Raw genomic sequence first — 23,423 nt, forward strand, 5'->3', positions numbered from 1 at the left:
TCTAATGTCAAGAGTTTAGCCACGGCAATTTTCTTTAAATAGATTCCTTTTTAAGACCTAAGCACTGGTGTTGGCCTATCCTTAACAGTAACGTTGGTGAACTCGAAGCTCTGTGTGCTGGTTAAATTTTTCTCTAAAAGGCACTAGAATGAATAAAAATGCTTGTGTCCCCTCCCCAACCAGCTTCATGGTCTACTAGGGGAATTGGTACTCCCCGCACGGAAATGAGGGATCCCAGGGGAGGTGCTTAGGAAATCTGAGCATCGCTGTGTGTGTGCACGCCAGTGTGTGTGTGTCTAAGTGTGAATGTGTGTGCCTGAGGGTGTGTATAAGGGTGAGTGAGTGTATGTGAATGTGTGTGACAGTGTGTGGGTATGTAGGTGATTGTGGGTGTGTATGTGTGTGACTGTGCAAGTGTGTGAATGTGTGTGAATTGAGTGTATTTGTGTGAGTGTGTGTGAATTGAGTGTGTGGTGAGTGCATGAGAGAGTGAGGGTGTGAGTGTGTGTGTCAGGATAAGTGTGTGAGTGTGAGAGGGTGTGTGAGTGTATGTGAGTGTGAGAGGATAAGTGTGTGAGGGTGTGTATGAGTGTGTGCATGTGTGTGAGTGTGTTAGGGTGAGTGAGTGTATGTGTGAGTGGGACAGTGTGTGAGAGTGTGTGTGAGGGTGTGTATGAGTGTGTGTGCATATGTGTGTAAGTGTGTGTTAGGGTGAGACTGAGTGTGAGTGGGACAGTGTGTGAGAGTGTGTGTGTGTGAGAGGGTGTGTATGTGAGAGAGACTGTGTGTGTGAGTGTGTGTGTGTGAGAGAGAGAGAGAGTATGGCAGTGGAGGGGTGTAGGGGGAGCAGGGCAGGATTTCCACATGTGAGGGACTTAGGGCAGTGATCTGTTTGGAGTTGGGGAACAGGGGCAGGTTCTTGTCCAAATCTGGATTTGCAGAGCAGACACACTGTTTTTTGAAACCATTTGCTTATTCGGGGCAGCGTGGGGATGGCGGATAGAGACGGTGAGGGCCAGCCTCCCAGGCCACCCTTGCCTCTGATCCCTGCTGGGGTGGAGGGATGCCTGGCCTGGCTGGGCCCCCAGATATTGTCCACTCTTGCTCCCAGGCCAGAGACGATGATTCAGGGAACAATGGCGTCATCCTGTTCTCCATCCTCCGAGTAGACTTCATCTCTAAGGACGGGGCCACCATCCCTTTCCAGGGTGTCTTCTCGATCTTCACCTCCTCCGAGGCCGACGTGTTCGCTGGGAGCATTCAGTAACTGCGGGCGGCCCCGGGAGGGAGGTTGCGGGGAGGGGCCCGATAGGAGCTTTCAGGCAGCAAGTCCCCCATCCTGGAGGTTACAAGGGTCCTGAGGATTCAGCTTGGGTTCCAAGACTGACCTGCGCCTCCCGCCTTCCGCAGGCCGGTGACCAGCCTCGACTCCACTCTCCAAGGCACCTACCAAGTGACAGTCCAGGCCAGGGACAGACCTTCCTTGGGTCCTTTCCTGGAAGCCACCACCACCCTGAATGTGAGTGCTGGTCCCACCTCCAGCCCCCAACGCCCTCTGCCAGCCCCCAGGGTCCCTGGTGCCTCATCTCCTGCACACCCCCTTCCCAGCTCTTCACCGTGGACCAGAGTTACCGCTCGCGGCTGCAGTTCTCCACACCGAAGGAGGAGGTGGGCGCCAACAGACAGGCGATTAATGCGTAGGTCTGGGGAGCCCCGGAGGGAGGGGTAGGAAGAACAGGGTGTAGGAGCCTGGTCCCCGACAAAACCTGGATGGGATGTCTCTCAATCCTGTTCCTGACCCACATTTGACCTTGTCCCTGTCTTCAACCCTGTACTTTCACCTGCACGACGTTCTTGCATGTCCCCAGAAGCCCATACCCAGCCAAGGGCAGAGGGAAGCCTTGGAACAAGGCTGCCGTGTACAGTTGTGAAGGCTGTGTGTTGCACAAGGGCACTCTGCTTGCTAAGCTATTCACCCAGCCCCAGAGGAAGGGATTTCCTTTTGTAATTTTCACAGAGATGCTACCTACTCAGCCAACAGAGCTGTCCAGAGGAGGTGCCCTTTCTCACTCATACAATTCTTAATCCCACTGGCACAGCCCTGGCCACAGGCCCAGGCTAAGACCCCAGGCCTCTGTGACATCTGCCTTCTTTGCAGGGCTCTTACCCAGGCAACCAGGACTACAGTATACATTGTGGACATTCAGGACATAGATTCTGCAGCTCGGTGAGTGCCCAGAGGCCTGGGGGTGGGGTTGAGGGGGAGAAGCGGTAGCAGGAGGGGCCTGCTGGGTGATCCAGGCTCCTGACTCTTCAACTCTGTCCCGCTCCAGGGCCCGACCTCACTCCTACCTCGATGCCTACTTTGTCTTCCCCAATGGGTCAGCCCTGACCCTTGATGAGCTGAGTGTGTGAGTGGGGCTGCCCTTGGGGCAGGTGTGAGGGTGAGCAGGAAGCCTGGGGTGTGCCAAGGTCCCTCGGGCCTAAGTGGAGTTCTGTGGCCAGGATGATCCGGAATGATCAGGACTCGCTGACGCAGCTGCTGCAGCTGGGGCTGGTGGTGCTGGTGAGTGCGGGCAGGGCGGGGCAGCAGGTGGGGCTGCTGAAGACGAGTGTGCTTCCCTCACACTCATCTTTCTCCAGGGCTCCCAGGAGAGCCAGGAGTCAGACCTGTCGAAACAGCTCATCAGTGTCATCATAGGATTGGGAGTGGCTTTGCTGCTGGTCCTTGTGATCATGACCATGGCCTTCGTGTGTGTGCGGAAGAGGTGCGGCTCCCATTGCCCCCGTGTCTCCAACCTTCACCCTCTCCCACCACCCAAGACGTCGGGGGGTAGGGGTAGAAGGAGCTGGGGCTTAGGCACAGGTATACATGCATTCACTCCCCAGTGACCCAGTGCGAGATCTTGGGTGAGTCACCTCCCCTCCACGGGCCTCAGTTTCCTTATCTGTGAAAGGGCATGAGACTTGATTCCTCAGTGCACTCAAGGAAGTAACATGCATCTCACACCCAGCTAGACGTCTGGCACACACTATGCGTTTAATAGATGCTGCTGCTTTTTCCAACATGTATAGAGTCAGCAGCCGTATCTGGGCTTGACTTCAAGCCTTGTCACTGGCTATTTGACCTTTGGCAAATCACTTGCCTTCTCTGGCTCTTACTTCTACCCTCTGTAAAATAGAGCTAACACTCACCTCCCGGGATCTTGTGAAGCCACAGGCTCAGGGCCTCCACTGGGGACACAACAGGTGTGCAGCAACAGTGTGACCCCTCTTCCGGTTCCCCACAGCTACAACCGGAAGCTTCAAGCTATGAAGGCTGCCAAGGAGGCCAGGAAGACAGCAGCAGGGGTGATGCCCTCAGCCCCTGCCATCCCAGGGACTAACATGTACAACACTGAGCGGTGAGCAGGGGTCAAAGGGTAGGTAAGAGGCCTGGTGGGGTGGCTGAGGGCCAGGCAACTTGACCAGGCTTTCTCTCCAGAGCCAACCCCATGCTGAACCTCCCCAACAAAGACCTGGGCTTGGAGTACCTCTCTCCCTCCAATGACCTGGACTCTGTCAGGTGAGCAGTGCCCCTCACAGCCAGGCTAGGTGGTGGTGGTGGTACAGGTAGTGACGGTGGTGGTGGTGATGGTGTTGGTGGTGATGATGGTGATGACAATGGTGATGGTGTGGTCATGGTAGTAGTGGTAGTTATGGTGGTGGTGGTGATGGTAGTGAGGTGATGGTGATGGTAGCAATGGTGACAGTGGTGATGATGACAACAATGATGGTGGTGATGATGGTGTTGGTGTTGAGGTGATGGTGATGGTTGTGATGGTGATGGTGGTGATGATGGTGATGATGACGATGGTGGTGGTGGTGGTGGTGTTGGTGTTGAGGTGATGGTGATGGTTGTGATGGTGATGGTGGTGATGATGGTGTTGGTGTTGAGGTGATGGTGATGGTTGTGATGGTGATGGTGGTGATGATGGTGTTGGTGTTGAGGTGATGGTGATGGTTGTGATGGTGATGGTGGTGATGATGGTGATGATGACGGTGGTGGTGGTGGTGGTGTTGGTGTTGAGGTGATGGTGGTGATGGTAGTGGTGGTGGGTGATGGTGGTGGCAATGGTGATGGTGGTGGTCATGGTGGTCATGGTAGTGGTGGCAGTTATCGTGGTGGTGGTGGTGATGGTGGTGGTGATGGTGATGGTAGTGATGGTGATGGTGGTGATGATGGTGATGATGACAATGATGATGGTGGTGGTGGTGTTGGTGTTGAGGTGATGATGGTGCTGATGGTGATGGTGGTGATGATGGTGATGATGACAATGATGATGGTGGTGGTGGTGTTGGTGTTGAGGTGATGATGGTGGTGATGGTGATGGTGGTGATGGTGATGGTGGTGGTGGTGGTGTTGGTGTTGAGGTGATGGTGGTGATGGTGATGGTAGTGATGGTGATGGTGGTGGTGATGGTTATGATGATGATGGTGGTGGTGGTGTTGGTGTTGAGGTGATGGTGATGGTGGTGATGATGGATGATGACGGTGGTGGTGGTGGTGTTGGTGTTGAGGTGATGGTGATGGTGGTGGTGATAGTGATTATGATGATAGTGGTGGTGGTGGTGTTGGTGTTGAGGTGATGGTGATGGTGCTGATGGTAGTGATGATGGTAGTTGTGATGATGGTGGTGGTGGTGATGGTGATGATGGTGGTAGTCGTGGTGATGGTGATGGTGGTGATGGAGGTGGTGGTTCTTGGGCACAGTAAGGGAGGACTGGGCCTGCCAACACCTGAGCTCCATCACCTCTCTTACAGCGTCAACTCCCTGGACGACAACTCTGTGGATGTGGACAAGAACAGTCAGGAAATCAAGGCAAGATGGGGGATGAATTGGTGCCTGGAGGTTCCAACTTGGGTTCTTCTGTGGAGGCTTCAGGGCAGAGCTCAAGGGACCTGCTACTGACATGGGCAGTTCTGCTTCTCTGCACCAGGCCCCAGGAAGCCCTGTGGCTTTGGAATGGGGTCCAATTCCTGCTCCTCCACTGGTTCACTGTGTGACCCTGAGAGACTTCTTGCCTCTGCTTCTCAGTTTTTTCACCTGTAAATGGGGATGGGAACATCAACCATGCAGGGCCATTGTGAGGATTAAATAAGGGCAGGCATAAGAACCACTTGGCACAAACAAGTGCTCACCAATCTGCTTCCAGCCCTTTATGGCCGTTATAGGAAAGCCAGCTGGGGGTGGGAAAGCAGATCCAGAGGTGAACCAGCATAGTCTAGCAAAGGAGAGAAGATGGGTTCAAATAAACAACAGTACCGCCATCTGTTAAACAGGTGAGTTGGTTGGATGAGATCAAGTGTTCATAGACTGGCCTGCTGCGTAAAAGCACCTGAGGAGCTCTTGAAAAATACTGATGCCCAGGTCACACCCAGGTCCATGGGTGCAACATTCTAGCATTTTAAAGACCAAGAGTTCTGATTCTGATGGCCCACGTGGAGCCTGGGCATGGACCTGTTGTAAAAGCCGCTCAGGGGGTGCTAAGGTGCAGGCACGGTGGACACCGCTGGAGCGGGTCAGCAGGCTGAGTGTGGGGTGGGTCCTGGACATGGAGGGGTGGCTCTCTGGAAACAGAAGGAACTGCCCTCTCTCCTTCCCACTTTGAAAGCCACCTCTGGAGGAGACGCTTAAGGCCCATTGGAGCTGTGATAGGCTGAGGTTCTGTGTGTGGTGCTGCGGGGGATCCACCCACATTTTCCCCCAGTCTGGGTTCTGGGCTTGGCTGGGTCCCAGGCCACTAGGGGCTCCCAACCTGACTTCATGGTTCAGAATTTGTTTTCCCTGAGGACTCCTTACATGGAAAGATTTGGTCAACCGAAGCCTCTCTTGGTCTTTAAAATGGTAGAATGTCGCACAGGGGCCCAGGTATAACACGGTACAGGGAATCTGGCACAGAGGCCTCCGGACAGGCCCCAGGTATGGTTGTGTGGGTGGTAATGCAGGCAGCCAGGCAGCGCTGGAGGCCTCTGGGTAGATGCTAGGAGATGGTTAGTGGCCAAAACTCTAATGAACATGTCTGGGGAACTGAGGCGAAGGAACAGTCTTGTCTACTGGAGTGCATGGCCTGTGGCAGAGGCTGATGCTGCTCCTAACCCAAGGGAGTGGAGTTAAGGACCCCCTGAGGTGTGGCTGGATCTGTGGACTGGGAAGGGGCAGGGAAGTAGGAGAAGGGTCTGGAGAGGGTGTGGGGACAAGTCACGGAAAGTCTTCAAAGCCAGAAAATTGCTCAGATTATGTCCTGGGAGGGCAGGGGGTTGCTATATTTCTGAGAAGCTGCCCAAGGCTCCACCCTGTCTCCTGCAGCAGTGAGTCTTGCGGGTCTCTGGGCAGGTCCACGAGGCATGGGGCCTTTTTGGGAGCTGTCTGCCCCCTGCTCTCCCATGGCTGGGGTGGCGCAGGTGGATCCTTTTCCCAGGAATCTCTTGGTGCCCTGACTTGTCTAAGCTCCACACGTCTGTGTGGTAGGTGTGAGTGGCTGGAGAGATTATCACTCTAACCTCCCCAAGTAACCAGCAAGGAAATTCACATCCAGAGAGGGGTGCTGACTTGCTCAAAGTGGGACAGCTTGCAGGGCAGGGGCAGACCAGAACCCAGGTCTTTGGTCTCTGGCACCAGGTCATGTTATCGTGGGTGGCACTGAGCCTGCAGCTCTCCACTTGGGGTCTGTCTTGAGGGCTCTGAGGAACACAGGCAGAATGCTTAGCCCCTCTGGGGCCCCTCGGATGTTCCACTGTTTACTAGGGACCAGAACAGCCCCAGTCTGGAAAAAGCCCTTGGAGTGCCCTGGGGAGGGCGGTGGTGGCCGGGGCTCTGGCCCTGTGGGTGTCTCTGTAGCAGAGCAGCTGAGCTTGGGGGCCTGGCTGTTCCACAGGAGGGTGTGTGTGTGTGTGCACGCACACAGCATGTCGCATGGCGAGGTGGAAGAGGAAGGGCGGGAGAGATGAGTGAGTGTGTGCCATGATAAACTGCAGGTGGGACCAGCCTGTGGGCAGCGTCCCTCTGAGGGCAGCAAAAAGAGACGTCAAATTCAACCAGGGCAGTGTCACATCATGGACACGCTTTTGAACCAGCAAGACCAGTGGTCTGCCCCTCTTCACCAGTAGACCTCTCTAAGCCTCAGTTTCCACATCTGTGAAGAGAGGACATGTTCCCTCCCTCAGAGGGTTTCAGTGGGTAGTTGAGGTAATGGATGGACCTCAACCCACACGGTGCCTGCCGTGGGGTACAGGGGGCAGGAACTGCGCTGGGCTGGCTCCTCGGCACAGGACACAGGGCCTGGCATTATTTGGAACTGGGCTGAACGGCAGAGTGCCGCAGTGTTGGTGGGCAGGGCAAAGGCAAGAGTGAATCCCCCAGGCCACACCCTCCCCCTCCCCTAATCTGCATCACCATTAGCCAGGGCCACCTCTGGGACACAGCCTGGACCAGAGGCCCCAGGAGGGGCAGGGTGGGACCCCTGCCAAGGAACCACTGGTCGTGAGCTTGAAGCCCATCCACTCCCCTAGGGCCTGGGGCACTCGCCCCACCTTGCCTTGCCCTTCACACCTCCTCTCCCTCTCCCTGCAGGAGCACAGGCCACCACACACACCACCAGAGCCAGATCCAGAGCCCCTGAGCGTGGTCCTGTTAGGACGGCAGGCAGGCGCAAGTGGACAGCTGGAGGGGCCATCCTACACCAACGCTGGCCTGGACACCACGGACCTGTGACAGGGGCCCCCACTCTTCTGGACCCCTTGAAGAGGCCCTACCACACCCTAACTGCACCTGTCTCCCTGGAGATGAAAATATATGACGCTGCCCTGCCTCCTGCTTTTGGCCAATCACGGCAGACAGGGGTTGGGGAAATATTTTATTACCAATGTATACTGTGACAGTTTGTAGCCAAAAACTGCGGCTGGAGGGGTGGGGACGGGACACTGAGTGGTCACAAGGGACTTGGGCTCACAGCACAGGGGGGACAAGGGGCTGGAGAGGGTGGCCTTTAAAAGACAACTGTGGTTATAGAATGAGCTCTCTGTCCTGTCCCCAATACCCAAGAACACCGGTCACCCAGGATGCCAGGGCCCAAGAGCTTCTGTGAGCCCAGCTGTGACCTCCAGACCTTCCTGAGACCCTCTGGCCTTTCTGTGACTCTCTCTCAGCTGAGCCCCCAGGGTACTTCCTGTAGCTGTCTTTGGCCTCTCTGGGAATCTCAAACCTGTGACTCAGTGGGAGAGGGGATGGGGCTGGAACCAGGCGGGTGGGAGATAGGAACTGGGGAAGGACCACCAACAGCATGCAAGAGACGCCCCGGCCACGGGGCCAGCCACTGCGTGGAGACGCTCACACTCGTTCTACCTCACGTGCTGCCCGAGACCTCACATTCAGAGACGTGCCCACTCGCGGGTCTCACACACCGATCCTCACCCACTTGAAGCTTCTGCCACTCAGACTTGTATGCAGTCTCTCCCTGTTCTGGGGATCTGGCCCCACCGGAGACCACAACGCACCAGTCTAGACATCTCAGGAGCCTGCCCCAGCTCTCAGGGGGTGGGAGGTGAGGGTGCTGAGCAGGCCCCCGTGGTCGCCCAGTGTGACCGGGAGTAGAGCTGAGGGCTGTGAGGGGACAGTGGGGCGTCAGGGCTGGCCGGGTTCGTGGCCTCGTGGCCACGAGGGAGCTTGGTAGAAGGGGTTCTTCTGTATTTGTGATGGGAGGGGCTGGAAAGACGGGGACGCAACAGCCCTAGAGGCTGCACAACCCCTCGGAGGCCTGTGGCACGCAGAGGGGACCCCTTCTAGGGGCCTGTGATCAAGAAGGGAGCCTGAGAAGGTCGGAAACTCGGGCGTACAAAATGGGGGCAGATCACTCGGCCGTGGGTCCCGCCCGCGAGCAGCACCGCGGCCGGCGCACACTCTGCAGCAGCGCGCGGAACAGGCCGGGCGGACGCTTGGCGGCGCCATCTGGGGGCGCGGTGCGCACCGAGCCCGAACGGCCGGGGCCGGCACGGGCGGCGGGCGGCGGCGCGGGCGCCCCTTGGCGGCCGTGCTCCTCGATCTGTCGCTCCAGATGCTTCTGGATGGCCATGCCCAGCACCTCCACCTCCATGGCGGCGCCGTATACCTCCCACGTCATGCCCTTCTCGTCCCAGCTCACGTCTCGCACGGGCTCAGCCGGCTCCGGGGGCGCTACAGCGGCCGCCAGCGCTGAGCCGGGCCGCACCCGCACTTCGGGGAAGGCGGGCGGCGCGGCGGCTTGAGGTGTCATGGGCCCAGTGGCCACGGAGCGCGTCTCGGCGGCGCCCAGCGACACCTGCAGGCCCGCATCTCGGCGCGAGGGCGGGCTGGGCGCGCGCGGCGCCGCCTGGAAGCTGAAGGCCGAGCCCCCAGCGCCGTCCTGCGGAGACATGGGGCTCACGGCCACTGAGACGCAGGCCTGCGCGCCCGCCTGAGTGCCCGCGTCCTCGCGCGGCGGCGGCGGGGCGCTCGCCTCCCACGACGGCGCCTTGGTGAAGTTGTCGCGAGTCCGCGGCCCCGGCGGGGGCGCTGCGGCCTCTGGGCAGGGGCTTCTCTCGGCCCCAGCGGCTTCCAGGTCTTTCTGGCCGAGACTGGAGGCCTCGGTGCTGGACACGGGCTCGGCCTTCGGCTCCACGCGGCCTTCACTGCCCCTGGCACCCTCGGGAGACCGGGCTGAGCCGAGGGCTTTGCGGTCTAACTGCCTGGAGGAGGAGGACGGCTTGGTCTTCTCCAGACTCAGGGGGACCACCTTCCCCAAGGATGGGGACTCCGTTTTTCTGGAAGGTGCAGAGTCGGCTTTCCCCAGGGACACAGGCTCTCCCTTCCCTGAGGCAAGGGGCTCTGCTTTTCTGCAGGATCCAGGATCCACCTTCTCTGAGGCCTGTGGTGTCTCCTTTTTCAAACACACAGCCCCTGCTTCCCCTGGTGCTGCAGCGCCCTCTTGCCCAGGGAGCTTTGTTTCTGCTTTGCCACCAGACTGCGGCTGTGCTTTCCCCGAGGCCCTGGGATCCGCCTTTGTGGTGGTAACAGGACTCCCCTTCTCTAGAGGCAGAGAACCCACTTTTCCCTCTGGGATAGCTTCTGCTTTTCCCAGGGACACGGGATCCACCTTCCCCGAGGGCACCGGGACTGTTTTTCCTGGAGTTGAGACCACTTTACCTATAGACACAGAGTCCCCTTGTCCAGAGGGGCCAGCGTCTGCCTTTCCCTTGCTCACAGGGTCCTCCTTGCCCACCGCGAGGGGCTCGGCCTTCCCTGAGGCTGTGGGAGCCGCCTTTCCAGAGGCCACCAGACCTGCCTTCTCCGAGGACAGGGGATCTCCTTTTCCCCCCGTCGCTGGCTCAGCCTTTACTGCAGATGGGGGACCTGCTGTCCCCAAGGACCTGGGATCGCCTGGACCTGAAGACACAGGGTTTGTCTTTCCTGAAGACTCAGGATTCACTTTTTCAGATGATGTCTTTCTACTTCCAGCAGATATGGGGTCCTCCCTTCTGGAGGACACCGGGTCCTCTTTTCCTGGGGATACAGTTCCTGCCTTTCCCACAGACACACGCTCTGCCTGTCCAGGAGACAAGAGCTCTGGCTTTCCTGAGCACATGGGGTCCATCTTTCCCAGAGAAACTGGATCCACCTTGCCTGAAGACATGGGATCCACATTTTTCAAAGATGTGAGATCTGTCTTTGCTGAAGCCGTAGTATCCGTGTGGCCAGACACAGGACGCCCCTCTCCTGAGGAGGCAGGGTCCATCTTTCCCAGGAACCGGGAGTCCTCTTTTGTGGCAGGCACAGTTTCTACATTTCCCACAGATGCGGGATCTGCCATCCCCAAGCATGTGGGATCCAGCCTTCCCAAGGACCCAGGAGCCCCGGTCCCAGAGGATACAGGCCCATTCTTGCCTGATGAGCCTGGAATCAGCTTGCCCAGGAGCCCCGGCTCTGTCTTTCCTGTGGACGCAGAATCCATGCTTTCCAAGGGCATGGGATCTGCCTTTCCCGAGGGCCCAGGATCTCTCTTTCCCGACAATACAAGATCTACCTTTTCTGCAGATGTAGGAGCGACCTTTTCTGAGGACACAGGATGCTCTTTTCCTGAATACCTGGGCTCCTCCTTTCTTGGGAATACAGGGTCCACTTTGTCTGAGGACACAGGATCCACCTTTCTCAAAGACCCAGGATCCTCCTTCCTCGGTGACACTGTATACGTCTTGCTGGAGCACAAAGGATCTACTTTTCCCAGGGATCCAAGATCTTCCTTTCTTACAGTCATGGGATCCATCCTTCCAGGAGCCACAGGATCCCCCTTTCCCAAGATTTCAGGCTCTGCCTTTCCTGTAAACATGGGATCTGCCTTCCGTGAGGACCCAGGATCCTCCTTTCCTATGGAAGTGGAATCGGCCTGCTTTGAGGACTTGAAATCCATCTTCTCTAAGAACATGGGATTTCTGTCATCTGAGGATTTGGGCTCAGTTTTCACGGAGGACACAGGCTCTGGCTTCCCAGACGTGGTGGCTTCTGGTGTCCCTGAGATGGAGGCTCCATGTGCCTCCAATGTCTCCTTGGAGGGTGACTCCTGGGGAGAGAAGCAGGTTGGGGAGGGGCAGGCCAGGCTCCCTCTGGGGCCGTCAGAGCAGGAGGCCCCTTCCCCAGCCCCACTGGGGCTTCTGTGTCTAGACTCCATGCCTGGGCTTTGGTCAGGGGTGTGCCTGGGGGGTGCAGGGCTTGCCTTTTGCTGGGAGGGGCAGTAATCCCTCATAGCCGAGCTGCCAGCCCCCAGGCTCCCATCCTGTGGGCAGAAGAAGGCTGTGGGTCGGGGTCCTGGGGGGCTGGAATCCTTTTGAAGCAGCTGGAGCCAGGCCGGGTCTTCAGCAGTGTCCATCTGCCCTCATGACCACGCCTGCACCCAAGGCTGCTGTCTGGTTCTGAAACAGAGAGAGAGCTGACTCAGACTTCCCAAAGCTCAGTGGGGGAGGAGACTCTGCCTTCTCCCCTTCCTCACTGAGTGCTGTGTCCCATCTGGTCCCCACCTGTCCAGAGGACCTAGACTAAAAACACAAACCCAAGCATGTCACTCCCCTGCTTCACTGCTCCCAGTGGCCCTCTGTATAAAGACGTCTTACAAGGCATTCAACGCCCTTCACAACTTGGCCACAGCCTAACTTTCTTTTTCTTTTTCTTTTTTGAGACAGAGTTTCGCTCTTGTTGCCCAGGCTGGAGTGCAATGGCGCGATCTCAGCTCACCGCAACCGCAACCTCCGCCTCCTGGGTTCAAGCGATTCTCCTGCCTCAGCATCCCAAGTAGCTGGGACTACAGGCATGCGCCACCACGCCCAGCTAATTTTGTATTTTGTTGGTCAGGCTGGTTTCGAACTCCCGACCTCAGGTGATCCGCCCACCTCAGCCTCCCAAAGGCTGAGATTACAGGCGTGAGCCACTGCGCCCCACCCACAGCCTAACTTTTCAACTTTGCCTACTATCGCCCCTCTCTGTTCAACCCCACCCCATGCAACACACTATCCAGAAGTTATGCTTTTGTCCTCTAGGCCAGGGGCTGCAAGCTCTGATGTCCGGGGGTCAAGTAGGTAATTTAAGTGAGGGAAGTGGGTTAGGTATAAGACAAAAGGGAGTGGTGGGGACTATGGCAAATTAGAGAGCACATGCTCTGTCTAAAGGGATGGCCGGGTGCGGCGGCTCACGCCTGTAATCCCAGCACTTTGGGAGGCTGAGGCTGACGGATCACTAGAGGTCAGGAGTTCAAGACCCCCCTGGCCAACATGGTGTAACCCCCTCTCTACTAAATATACAAAAAAATTAGCCAGGTGTGGTGGTGCACGCCTGTAATCCCAGCTACTCAGGAGGCCGAGGCAGGAGAATTGCTTGAACCTGAGAGGCAGAGGTTGCAGTGAGCCAAGATCGTGCCACTGCACTCCAGCCTGGGCAACAGAGCAAGACTCCATCTCAAAAATAAACAAAAACAAAAATTAATAAAAATAATAAAGGGAGAACCACTACTCCCATCAGCCAAGTGCTATCCTGGAGAAATGCAACCTGGTGGTCCCAGTTCTTCCAGTTGCTTAAGTGGGAAATCCAGACTTTAATGTAAAATATGCTAATTAATTAAAGGTTTAAAAAAAAAAAACCCAAACATTATGTGGGCCAAACAAGACTTGCCTGTAGGCCACCAGTTTATGTCTATGTAGGCCCTGGAGAGCTGTGAATGGTTTATAGTCAAGGAAGGGACATAGTCAGATGTGTGTGTTTTCAAAGATTCCTCTGGGATGGTATGGAGGCTGGGCTGAAGGAGCACAGGGGTTGGCCAAGACCTGTGAGGAAGCTGGTAAATCATTCATTTAATCTTTCATCCATTTAATCCTTCATTCATTCACCTAGCCCCTTCTCTGCAACAGGCCCTGAGCAGTTGCAGGAATCTCGATGAGAGACAGCACAGCAGAGGTCCTGGAGATGGTAGTTAAAGGCAGAATTGAGAAATCCAAAGGAAAACTGACAGGTACCAACAGGCTGTACTGGTAATGGCAGGGGCGGTCTGCAGGGTACTGGCTAGGGTGAGGGCTGCTGGGTGATGGTGCTGAGCAGGAGATGTAGGAAAGAGGGAGATCCGTTTTTGGACAAGCTGAGTTTGTAGTGCCTGGGGGATATCCAAGAAGAGGGTCCAGCAGGCAGCTGGGCCTACAAGCAACCCCGTTCCGTTACACACTCAGTAGCCAAAGCAAATAGAGCTCCTGATCCCCTCAAACCTGCTCCAAAACCATGGCTTTAATGCTCAGGCCCAAATCCCTAATCACCCTTGACTTTCACACCCCACGTCTATCAGCAAAACATAATGGAGTTACCATCAGAATATATCCAGCATCTGGCTACTGCCATCTGGACCCCCCACCATCTCTCACCTGGATTATCCCTGCCTTTTCCTTTGTCCCATAGCTTATTCTCAACACAGCAGCCAGAGGGATCTTAGTAAAACCCGAGACAAATCATGTACCCCTCTGCTCGGAACCAGGCAGTGTCTCCCCATCCCATGCAAAGTAAAAGTAAACTCCTTAGAATGGCTCAGAAGCCCCTGCATCTTCAGGCCCCGTCACCTCCTCTGCCCTTTCTGCTGCTGCTCTCCCTCTCCCTCACGCTGCTTCAGCCACGCGGGGTGCCTCGCTGTGCGCCTTGCTGTGCCTTGAACACGCCTGCCTCCATGCCTTGGCGCTGCCTGCTTCTTCTGCATGGAGAGATTTCTCTCCAAATATCTGCATGGTCGGCTCCCCAAGGCTTTCCCTGACCCATGCAATGTAAAACAGCCTCCTCCCCAGCTCTGGCTGGCATTCTCCACCCTCTTATTCTAATCAGTTTTCCTCCATAGTACCTGTCACCATCTGACATATCACATATATTCGCTTATTGCTTGTGGTGTGTTGCTCTCATTAAAATGCCAGCTCCAGGAGGTGGGGACTTTGCTGTGCTATCTGATATATCCCAGAGTTGAGACCTGGCACACATGCAGTAAGCAAGGAAGATCCTCATACGGATTTGTTCCATGAATGACTGAATGACCTAAGATGCAGAGCCACCTGTGCCCTCCTTGGCTCAAAACCCTCCTCATTCTTGCCGGAAATGTAAATTAGTTGTAATCTTTTTAGAAGGACATTTATCAATTTCTATCAAAGTTTACAACGCGCATAGCATTTGAGCCACCAAGCCCACCTCTAAGCATGGTCCTAAAGATAGACCTGGGGTCCTGAAGATGGTCCTGGGGTACACAAGGGCATGGCTAGTGATGAGAACAAGACGGGGAGGCAGGTTCTGTGAACTGTGGGACAACCACGCAGAGCACCGGGCAGCTACTAGAAGGTGTGGGGTAATGAGGGAAAGCACCCAAGATAAATTAATTGAAAAAGGCCAGGGGACAGCATCGCTACTGGGATCCCACGCGTGTAGCCAAGGAAAAGGACACACATGGATGGGTTTATTTATAAAGAGAATTTCTGGATGGAATCCTATAAAACTTTTAGCAGTGACTGCCTCTCAGAAGGAAGAGCGGGGATCTGAGGGTGGGAGAAGCTTTTCTTTGTGCGCCCCTTTGTGATGTTTAAATTGTGGTTATGTGCGCACATAGTCCTTTTTTTTTCCAATGGACAATAAAGAGAAACCTTTAATGACTCACTCTTACCTTTGGGGTAAAGTCCAGCTCTTTAATATGCTCCTAAGCCCCTATGTTTCTACTTAAGTGCTGGGATTTATCTTTCATTACCCACTCCCACCCCCAAAACATGTACACACACAGATACACACTCTCTCTCTCCCCCACCATCTCAGCCTCTACACACCCTCTTCTGGAGGAATCTCTCCCTCCCTTCTTGCCTGGCTGTCTCTTATTACACCTTCAGATCTCCGTTAAAACACCTCCTCCTCTAGTGGGCCTTGTTTGGCTACCAGCTTCCTGGGGATTCCTGTAGCCTCTCGTTCCTCCTCTAACAAGGCTCATGTCACTCTGCATCTGGCCATTTACACCTCTGGGTCCCTGGCCAGACCTCAGGTCTCTGGATGGGGACACAGTCGATACTGTTCACTACTGGGTCCCTCAGGCTCTGGCTTATGAGGTGGGGGAGGGGGACCATCACTAAGAGGGAACACAGGAAGAGGAACAGTTTTGCAGAGGATCATGGGGCACTGGGTTTCGGAAGTGGAACTGGAGTGCCCATGGGACTTATGGGGGGTGACATCCAGGAGGCAGTAGGAAGCAGGCCAGAAGCACGGGAGAGGTCTGGTTGGAATTCGTGGGATCACTGGATGGTCACCAGCCTGCAGGGGTCAGGCAGGCATCAGATTTGAGTGGCGTGAATTGAGTCCATCTTCATCTTTGGCCTTTTGATAGTGATATGGGCACAAATATTTGTTTTCTCCTACAAGGGAGATGATGAAAGACTCCTGACATCCCCAGACTGAGGGAGACAAGAGGGAGTGGTGGGGACTGTGGCAAACTAGAGGGCACTGGCCCCTTCTAAAGGGGCAACGGCACTCAATTCCTGCCAGCTGTGGCCAATTAGGAATCATTCCATTAACTCAGCATTTACTGAGCACACAGGCAATGTTCTAGGCATTATTCTTGGGACTGGGGATACAGCAGTGAATAAGAAATGTGGGGTCCCTGCCTTATAGATGCAGAAAGATTGGGAGGAGAGAAATAAACAAGTGGCAAATAAATCATAGTATTTCAAATAATGGATGCTGTGAAGACAAAGGAGTGGGCAGCTGGTTTAGACATGTGGTCAAGAAAGGCCCCTCTGAGGCAGTTACCATCTGAGCCAGCCATGAAGAGCTGGAGTGGAGTCGGAAAGGGGGTGGCAGCGGAAGAGGAGGCAGCAAATCACATGAGGCATGGTGGAGGAGGGGGGTTTAGCCTAAGGGCACTGGAAACCCTGGAAGTATTTTCTTTTTATTTGAGACAATGTCTCACTCTGTTGCCCAGGCTGGAGTGCAGTGGCGCGATCTCGGCTCACTGCAGCCTTGACCTCCTGGGCTCAAGTGATCCTCCCACCCCAGCCTCTCAATGTAATAGGATTATACCTTGATCTCTTGAGGCCAAGAGTTCCAGACCAGCATGGGCAACATAGCAGGATCTCGTGTCTACAATAGGATTATACCTAGCGCCTAGTGAGCCACTGTATCCCGCCCCTTGGAAGTATTTAAGCAGGGAAGTGAATGTGGCCGCTGTGCCTCCAGGTTTCCTAAATTTTTTTTTAGCTAAGTCATAAATCTGGATATCTGTATTTTATTTATTTATTTATTGAGACAGAGTTTTGCTCTTGTTGTCCAGGCTGGAGTGCAATGGTGCTATCTTGGCTCATTGCAACCTCTGCCTCCCAGGTTCAAGTGATTCTCCTGCCTCAGCCTCCCAAGTAGCTGGGATTACAGGCATGCGCCACCATGCCCAGCTAATTTTGTATTTTTAGTAGGGACAGGGTTTCTCCATGTTGGTCAGGCTGGTCTCGAACTCCTGACCTCAGGTGATTTGCCTACCTTGGCCTCCCAAAGTGCTGGGATTACAGACATGAGCTACCGCGCCCAGCATGGATATCCATGTTTTAAATATTGGCTAATTTAAAAAATATCATACAGGCTAAACAAAACACTTTTTTTTTTTTTTTTTGAGACAGAGTCTTACTCTGTCACCCAGGCTGGAGTGCAGTGGTACAATCTCAGCTCACTGCAACCTCTGCCTCCCGGGTTCAAGCAATTCTCGTACCTCAGCCACCCGAGTAGCTGGGGCTACAGGCGCACATCACCATGCCCAGCTAATTTTTTAAATTTTTACTAGAGACAGAGTTTCACCGTGTTGGCCAGGGTGGTCTCGAACTTCTGGCCTCAAGTGACTGGCTGCCTTGGCCTCCCAAAGTGCTGCGATTACAGGCATGGTCCACCATGCCCGGCCAAAACACTTTCATGAGCCAACTTTGACCCCTAGGTCACCAGCTTGCAACCTCTGATCCATCTGGCCCTTGGCCTATGGAAAAGGACGTTATAAGCCAGGGTGACCGGGAAGATGGTCAAGGGAAAGGGCCCTGGGGCGGAGTTCCGCGGCTGTAATCCCAGTGCTTTGGGAAGTCAAGGTGGGATGACTGCTTGAGGCCAGGAGTTCCAGATCAGCATGGGCAACACGGCAAGATCCCGTCTCTACAAAAACTTTAAATTAAAATTAAAAAAAAAAAAGAAATTAGCCAGGTGTGGTGGCATGTACTTATAGTCCTGCCTGCTCCAGAGGCTGAGGCAGGAGGATCTCTTGAGTCCAGGAGTTTGAGGCTGCAGTGAGCTATGATCAGCCTGGGTAACAGAACAAGAAACTGTCTTTAAAACAGAGACAGGGAGAGAGAGAAAGGGCCCAGGCTCCAGTGAGGGCCAGGATCTGCCTACCATGCCTGCCTGTTTCCTTCTCTGGAAAACAGGAATTCAACAGCTGCCTGGCTGGTGTACAGGGAGTTTAGCTGGAGCTGGAAGGAGTCAGCAAAGGATATAGGAAGGGTGCTCTGGGCCCTCACTACCCCTCATTTCAGCCCTGGAAGCCCAGCCCTGGGGTCCTCACACACCAGCCCAGCCAATAAGCTCCTCTCCCTGGGTGCAGCCCGGGCAGAAAGTCAGGCCAGCCCACCGCTTATCAGCTCTGTGACTTCAAGCAACGCCCTTCTCCTCCTTGGGGACCCTGAAGAACCCACCTCCTGCTCCCCCAGGGCTATAGTGAGAATTAAAGAAAATGAGGGGTGTGCCTGACTCTGCTCACTTTAGGGCTGGGCTGTGTCTGTGGAAGGCCTGTTTTTATCTGCTCAGCCTGTCAGAGCCCAGCTGTGCTCCCAGGAGGGGGCAGGGGAGGAAAGGGTCTGCAGCAGGGACACAAACCAGCAAAACCTGACCCTCAGACAGGCTTGTTTGACCCACAGAGCTAAACACATTTTAAAATCAGTTTTAAAAAGGAATTAACCGATCAACTTCTAAACATTAGAAGATTTCATGTGACAGTAAGATTTCCAGCTTCTCTTGGAAAACTAAAATTTGGCAGTCTGAGCGTGCTTCCTGCCTGGCAACATTCAGCTGGAGCCCCAAAGGGACAGCCTCCTTAGATGGGGGTGTACTCTCCAATCAGCCACAATCCCCCCTCTTCCCCACGGTGTCCTAGACACTGAGGCTGACTGTCTGCTGCCATCAATCATGGAATTCTCACTGTCGTTTTTCTCACAGCCGGCCCTTCATGTATGTTACCCTCCTGGCCTGTAGCCACCTGAGTGTGGACCCTGGAGCACAATGCCATGAAAGGCAGAGGTGACCTTGTACAAGTCGAGCCCTTACTATGTGCAAATCCCACCCGCCTGCCAGGCAGCTGTTGTAGTCCTGTTTTCCAGAGGAAGAAACAGGTTCTAAGAGGCAAGCTTGGCTCAGCTGATAACATGCCCCTTCTGAAAGTCCCCAGGCTTCCCGTCCCCAACTTGTATTTTCCAGCCTCTGAGATGGGATAAAGTCCAGGGTAGGGACAGAGAGCCTGGTCAGGGAGGTAGAAAGATGTGGGGTCAAGCCCCAGCTTAGTCATTGACATCCTCTATGACTCTGAGTGAGTTTTTCTACTCCGTGGGTCTCAGTTTTCCAATCTGTGAAATGGGAGAGGGGATGTAGTTACATCTGGAAGAGATAGGCCAGCCCTGGGTTTCAGAACTGCCCCAAGACCACTCCCAGAGGCTCTACTGCTCACAGTTCTGCTGGGCCCTTCCTGGATCTTGGGGAGGCCTGAGGATCCTCGAGCTGCTTCTCTGAGAGGCAGCCCAGGCCTGAGGCCCCACATTCTCTCCCCGCAACTACCCCACTAGAACCCAGCTCCATTACCTGGGCCCAGCACGCTCACTGTCTTTCTTTTTTTGAGACCGAGTCTTGTTTTGTTGCCTAGGCCGGAGTGCAGTGGCATGATCTCGGCTCACTGCAATCTCCACCTTCCAGGTTCAAGTGATTCTCCTGCCTCAGCCTCCCGAGTAGCTGGGATTACAGGCATGTGCCACGACACCTGGCTAATTTTTGTATTTTTTGTAGAGACAGGGTTTCACCATGTTGTTTAGGCTGGTCTTGAACTCCTGGCCTCAAGTGATCCACCCACCTCGGCCTCTCAAAGTGTTGGGATTACAGGCATGAGCCACTGCACCCGGTCTCAGTCTCTTTTTATCATCTGGATCCCACAACAATCTCATGAGGGGGGCATTATCATCCCATTTCACAGATGAGGCCACTGAAGTCAGAGGGAGAAGACTTGACCAAGGGCACACAACTGGGGCACACAACTGGGGCACACAACTTGGTCAAGACTTGACCAAGGGCACACAACTGAGGGAAGGCTGTAGCTCAAAGCCAGTTGTGCCCAAGCACAAAACCTGAGTTCTTTCTAAGATCGTGGACACTGACACTTGGCTCTTTTTTTTTTTTTTTTTTTTTTTTTTTTTTTTTTTTTCTGAAGACAGGGTCTCACTCTGTTACCCAGGCTAGAGTGCAGTGACACAATCATACCTCCCTGTAGCCTCCAACTCCTCAGCTCAAGCAATCTTCCCTCATCAGACTCCTAAGTAGCTATAGGCATGCGCCATCACACCCAGCTAATCTTTAAATTTTTGTAGAGATGGGGGTCTTGGTATGTTGCCCAAGCTTGTCTCAAATTCCTGGCCTCAAGCAATCCTCCTGCCTGGGCTTCTCAAAGTATTGGGATTACAGGTATGAGCCACTGCACCTGGCCTGACACTTGGTTCTCAAAACCCCCTTTCTGGTTTTTGAGGTCAGGCCAAGGTTCCTCCCAAGCAACAGTGCCAAGGAGCATGCAGTAGAAGAAGCAAGAGCTCCCCTCCCCCTGCATACATTCCCCCACCTGTGGGAACGCACACACCCTATGAGCAGATGAGCCTGTACACTTGGGCACAAACAGGTTGAGTGTGGCCTGACTGAGGCAGAAGGCAGAAATGTCTGCTAGGTATGTAGGCGGGCTCACCTGGCATGCAAAGGAGTGAACAGACTGCTTGTGGATGTATGTACCAGCTTGGGCCACTCTGGGGCCAGGACCTGGCTCCTGTGTTCTGCTCAAGAAGAGCTTGTTGTGCGTATGTACACCCTGCATGTGCAGAATGGCCTGTGTGTTTGTGCCTCGTGGGGGCTACTTGGACCCTGTGGGTATCTCACTCCTAGGAGAGCTTATCTGGGTGTTGCACAGGTGCCTGTGTCCTGCTCCCAGGGAGAGCAGCAGCCCCTGTGGCTGCCCATTCAGGCCACAGAGACCTGGCCAGCCATTCCTTTCCCTCTAGGATTTCTTTCCAGCATGGAGCTATCCTTACACCCATAAACAGGGCCAGAACTGCCAAGCACCTGCAAATACCTCTTCTGTGCTGACAAGACCAACAAAGGCTTGAGGGACTTCGTCAGGCATCTGAGTGTGTCTGAGAATCTCAGTCTGCTGCCCCTCGTCCCCTTCTCTCGTAGTGCCCTCAGAGCAGCGAAGTCTCCTGCTCGGGGGTGTGGGGGGAGAAGGAATCTAAAGGTGTTAGCCAGACCTGCTTCCAGAAACGGCCCTCAGACCATGCATACATACATACATAGGAGGGCAAGAATGGACGTTCATGGACGTGCAAACGTGGGCCAGTGTGGGTGGGAGTGGGCAGCACGCTAAGAGACAGAGTGTGTGTGTAAGAGGGAGTGTGTGCACAAGGGTGGCAGTCTACTCCAGGGTATCTGGGTACGCAAGGGACCCCATGAGCAGGGGTGAGCAGGCCAGGGCAGGGTGGCCCCGAGTGTGTTGTGATCAGGGAGTATTGTTGAGTTGATGTCCATGCTGTGATCCGCGATGGCTGGTTTGAGTGCGTAGCTGTGCCTGGGTGTGTACGCAAGGCTCCCACCCAGTACCCTGGGTGACAGGTGGCCGTGTGTATGAGTCTAATGGAATGACCAACAGCCATTGTGTGTGTGCGGTAGACCTGTGGCCTCACTCGAGGAAATGAGGCGCCCGTGCGTGAACGCGGTGTTGTGTGATCGCGCCCCGGAGTGTGTGCCACACTGGTTGTGTGACGGCGAGTGTGCTCAGTAGTGCGAGTGGAGCCAGTGGAGCGTTGAGCTCGCTCCGGGGAAGATGAATCAACGCGGGAGGACGCCCTCCCCCCAGTGGCGGGAAGCACCCCCTCCCGCGCGGCCATGCCGAACAAAGCCAGCGGGCGGCGGCAAGGCCGGGCGCGGGGCCGACCCCACAGCCAGGTCAGCCTGGCCCGCCGGGCCCCTCTGATGTTCGGCCCAGGGCTGCGGGACCCGCCCCCGCCCCGCCCCGCCCCGCCCCGCCCCGGCGAGGAGCCTGGAAACAGACACCCACCGCCCCCAGCCGCGCGCACACACCCGGGCTCATGCCGCGCGAGGTGTCCGAGCCCCGCCGCCGGGGGGCTTCGAGGACCCTGGACAGCGGCTCCGGGGCGGCAGCGAGCGGATGAAGGGGCTGCCGCCGCCCGCCCGGAAAGACAGCGGGTGTGGGCGCGGCGCTTACCAGGCAGTGCCGCTGCTCCGGCTCCTGGGCGAGATGCGCTCCGGCTCCCGCCGCCGCCGCCGCCGCCGCCCGAGCGGCCTCGGCTGCCTCCGGCCGGGCTGGCGGGAGGACCCGCAGACTCGGCGCCGCCGTCCCCAGCGCCGGCTCCGCGCTCCCGCCCCGCGCCCCGCCCCGGGCATGCGCAGTAGCCGCCCGGCCGCCTCGGAACCGCGAGGGGGCGGTGACCGCGGGGAAACCGCGGCCGGAGGGAGCGAGGGAGGGGCGCCCCTCGCTGGCCAACCCTAACTGCGGCCGCTGGGCTCCCGGGTTCCGCGCCGTCCTCGAGCGGGTTCCCACTTCACAGACAGGGAGACTGAGGGCCGGAGAGGCTGCCCCTTTGCTGCGAGCTTGCTGAGGGCGGGGCGCGCCGTCTAGCAGATCTTAGACCAGCCCCTCGAAAGCCCTCGCCTGGCTTGACCAAGGAGGGAACTGGGGCTCAGAGGGGGCAGTCGCCGGCCTGAGGACTCGAGGCGCCTGGATGGGGACCCAGGTCGGCGCGATCTCCCGGCTCCGCCAGCGAGGAAATTTCCCGCCTCCGCCCCCCCCACCCCCGGCCGCACTTCCGGCCTCCTCTTCCCCGCCCCCGGCCCTTTGTCTCGCCGCTGCCCACGCTCCAGCGAGTGGCGGGGACGCCGGAGGTAGTGGTGCGGGAGAGATGCCTTCCAGTCCCTGGCTGCGGCCTCCCCGGGGGCCCGCCCGCCCTCCCCCCTCCCCCTGGATACCCTCGAGCAAATCATTTCACCTCTCTGCACTTCAGTTTCTCGATCTGTAAAACGGGACTAACATTATGCACCTCACGGTGGTCTTGGAAGGGCAAAGTAGGTGTTCAGGGGTTTCCAGTGGTATCTGAATCACCAAGGACACAGAGACTCGCTGCCCACCCCCTCCACATTTCCCTGCAGAGAAGGAGTTCCCTTCCCCTTGACTTCCCAGAGGAGAAAAAATAATTCCGTAATTGCTCTAGATGTGACAAAACCCTCTCGCACCGGTACTATGAAGCCACCACCATCTATTAATCAATGGTAACAACCATTGGCAATGATGCTTATGTAGGGCCAGACACGGCGCTAAGATTCTGTTTACAGGTTTTATCTAATTTCAATTTCCAATCGCTTAGGAGCAAGTTAATATTAATGTATTATATCTCCATTTTTCAGATAAGAAAAGAGAAGCAGATAAGTAACTTGTTTGTGGTCACACATCTAGTTAGTAGTGGAGCTGGGATTACAAACCCATGCAGTCTAACTTTGAAACCTCACTTCTTATTCTTACATTTTACTCCCCTCTCTTACTTGGTGAACCGTA

The 23,423-nt window shown here is 55.6% G+C and overlaps 2 protein-coding genes across 3 annotated transcripts in view, besides 4 other annotated features; one reads left to right on the plus strand and one right to left on the minus strand.

Moving 5' to 3' along the window:
* The window catches only part of CDHR2 (cadherin related family member 2), a 53,464-nt gene extending 45,409 nt beyond the window's left edge, over nt 1-8,055 (plus strand). Inside the window, exons 22-32 of one of the 2 annotated variants that reach the window (NM_001171976.2) lie at nt 1,112-1,263; nt 1,411-1,519; nt 1,609-1,697; nt 2,159-2,227; nt 2,334-2,411; nt 2,506-2,566; nt 2,644-2,768; nt 3,291-3,404; nt 3,485-3,565; nt 4,804-4,861; nt 7,613-8,055. In NM_001171976.2, the coding sequence (NP_001165447.1) occupies nt 1,112-1,263; nt 1,411-1,519; nt 1,609-1,697; nt 2,159-2,227; nt 2,334-2,411; nt 2,506-2,566; nt 2,644-2,768; nt 3,291-3,404; nt 3,485-3,565; nt 4,804-4,861; nt 7,613-7,753 (1,077 nt within the window). In that variant the 3' untranslated portion in view covers nt 7,754-8,055. The remainder of the gene's footprint in view (nt 1-1,111; nt 1,264-1,410; nt 1,520-1,608; nt 1,698-2,158; nt 2,228-2,333; nt 2,412-2,505; nt 2,567-2,643; nt 2,769-3,290; nt 3,405-3,484; nt 3,566-4,803; nt 4,862-7,612) is intronic. The other variant, NM_017675.6, reaches the window with a different exon arrangement.
* Nucleotides 7,883-22,237, minus strand: GPRIN1 (G protein regulated inducer of neurite outgrowth 1). The gene is made up of 2 exons (NM_052899.3): nt 22,080-22,237; nt 7,883-11,958 (listed from the first exon to the last, which is right to left on the minus strand). Exon 2 carries the CDS (start codon nt 11,913-11,915, stop codon nt 8,889-8,891), a length of 3,027 nt encoding a protein of 1,008 aa, NP_443131.2. The 5' UTR covers nt 11,916-11,958; nt 22,080-22,237; the 3' UTR covers nt 7,883-8,888.
* Nucleotides 8,956-9,115: a silencer, noted in NCBI's record as "silent region_16658". NCBI's record gives its function as "represses an Ori minimal core promoter by ATAC-STARR-seq in GM12878 lymphoblastoid cells {active_cell/tissue: GM12878}" and the evidence as "EXISTENCE:reporter gene assay evidence [ECO:0000049][PMID:35858748]".
* Nucleotides 9,256-9,345: a silencer, noted in NCBI's record as "silent region_16659". NCBI's record gives its function as "represses an Ori minimal core promoter by ATAC-STARR-seq in GM12878 lymphoblastoid cells {active_cell/tissue: GM12878}" and the evidence as "EXISTENCE:reporter gene assay evidence [ECO:0000049][PMID:35858748]".
* Nucleotides 21,818-21,877: a silencer, noted in NCBI's record as "silent region_16660". NCBI's record gives its function as "represses an Ori minimal core promoter by ATAC-STARR-seq in GM12878 lymphoblastoid cells {active_cell/tissue: GM12878}" and the evidence as "EXISTENCE:reporter gene assay evidence [ECO:0000049][PMID:35858748]".
* Nucleotides 21,938-22,567: a silencer, noted in NCBI's record as "silent region_16661". NCBI's record gives its function as "represses an Ori minimal core promoter by ATAC-STARR-seq in GM12878 lymphoblastoid cells {active_cell/tissue: GM12878}" and the evidence as "EXISTENCE:reporter gene assay evidence [ECO:0000049][PMID:35858748]".

This window comes from Homo sapiens, chromosome 5 (genome assembly GCF_000001405.40).
Source record: "Homo sapiens chromosome 5, GRCh38.p14 Primary Assembly".
Classification (NCBI taxonomy): Eukaryota; Metazoa; Chordata; class Mammalia; order Primates; family Hominidae; genus Homo; species Homo sapiens.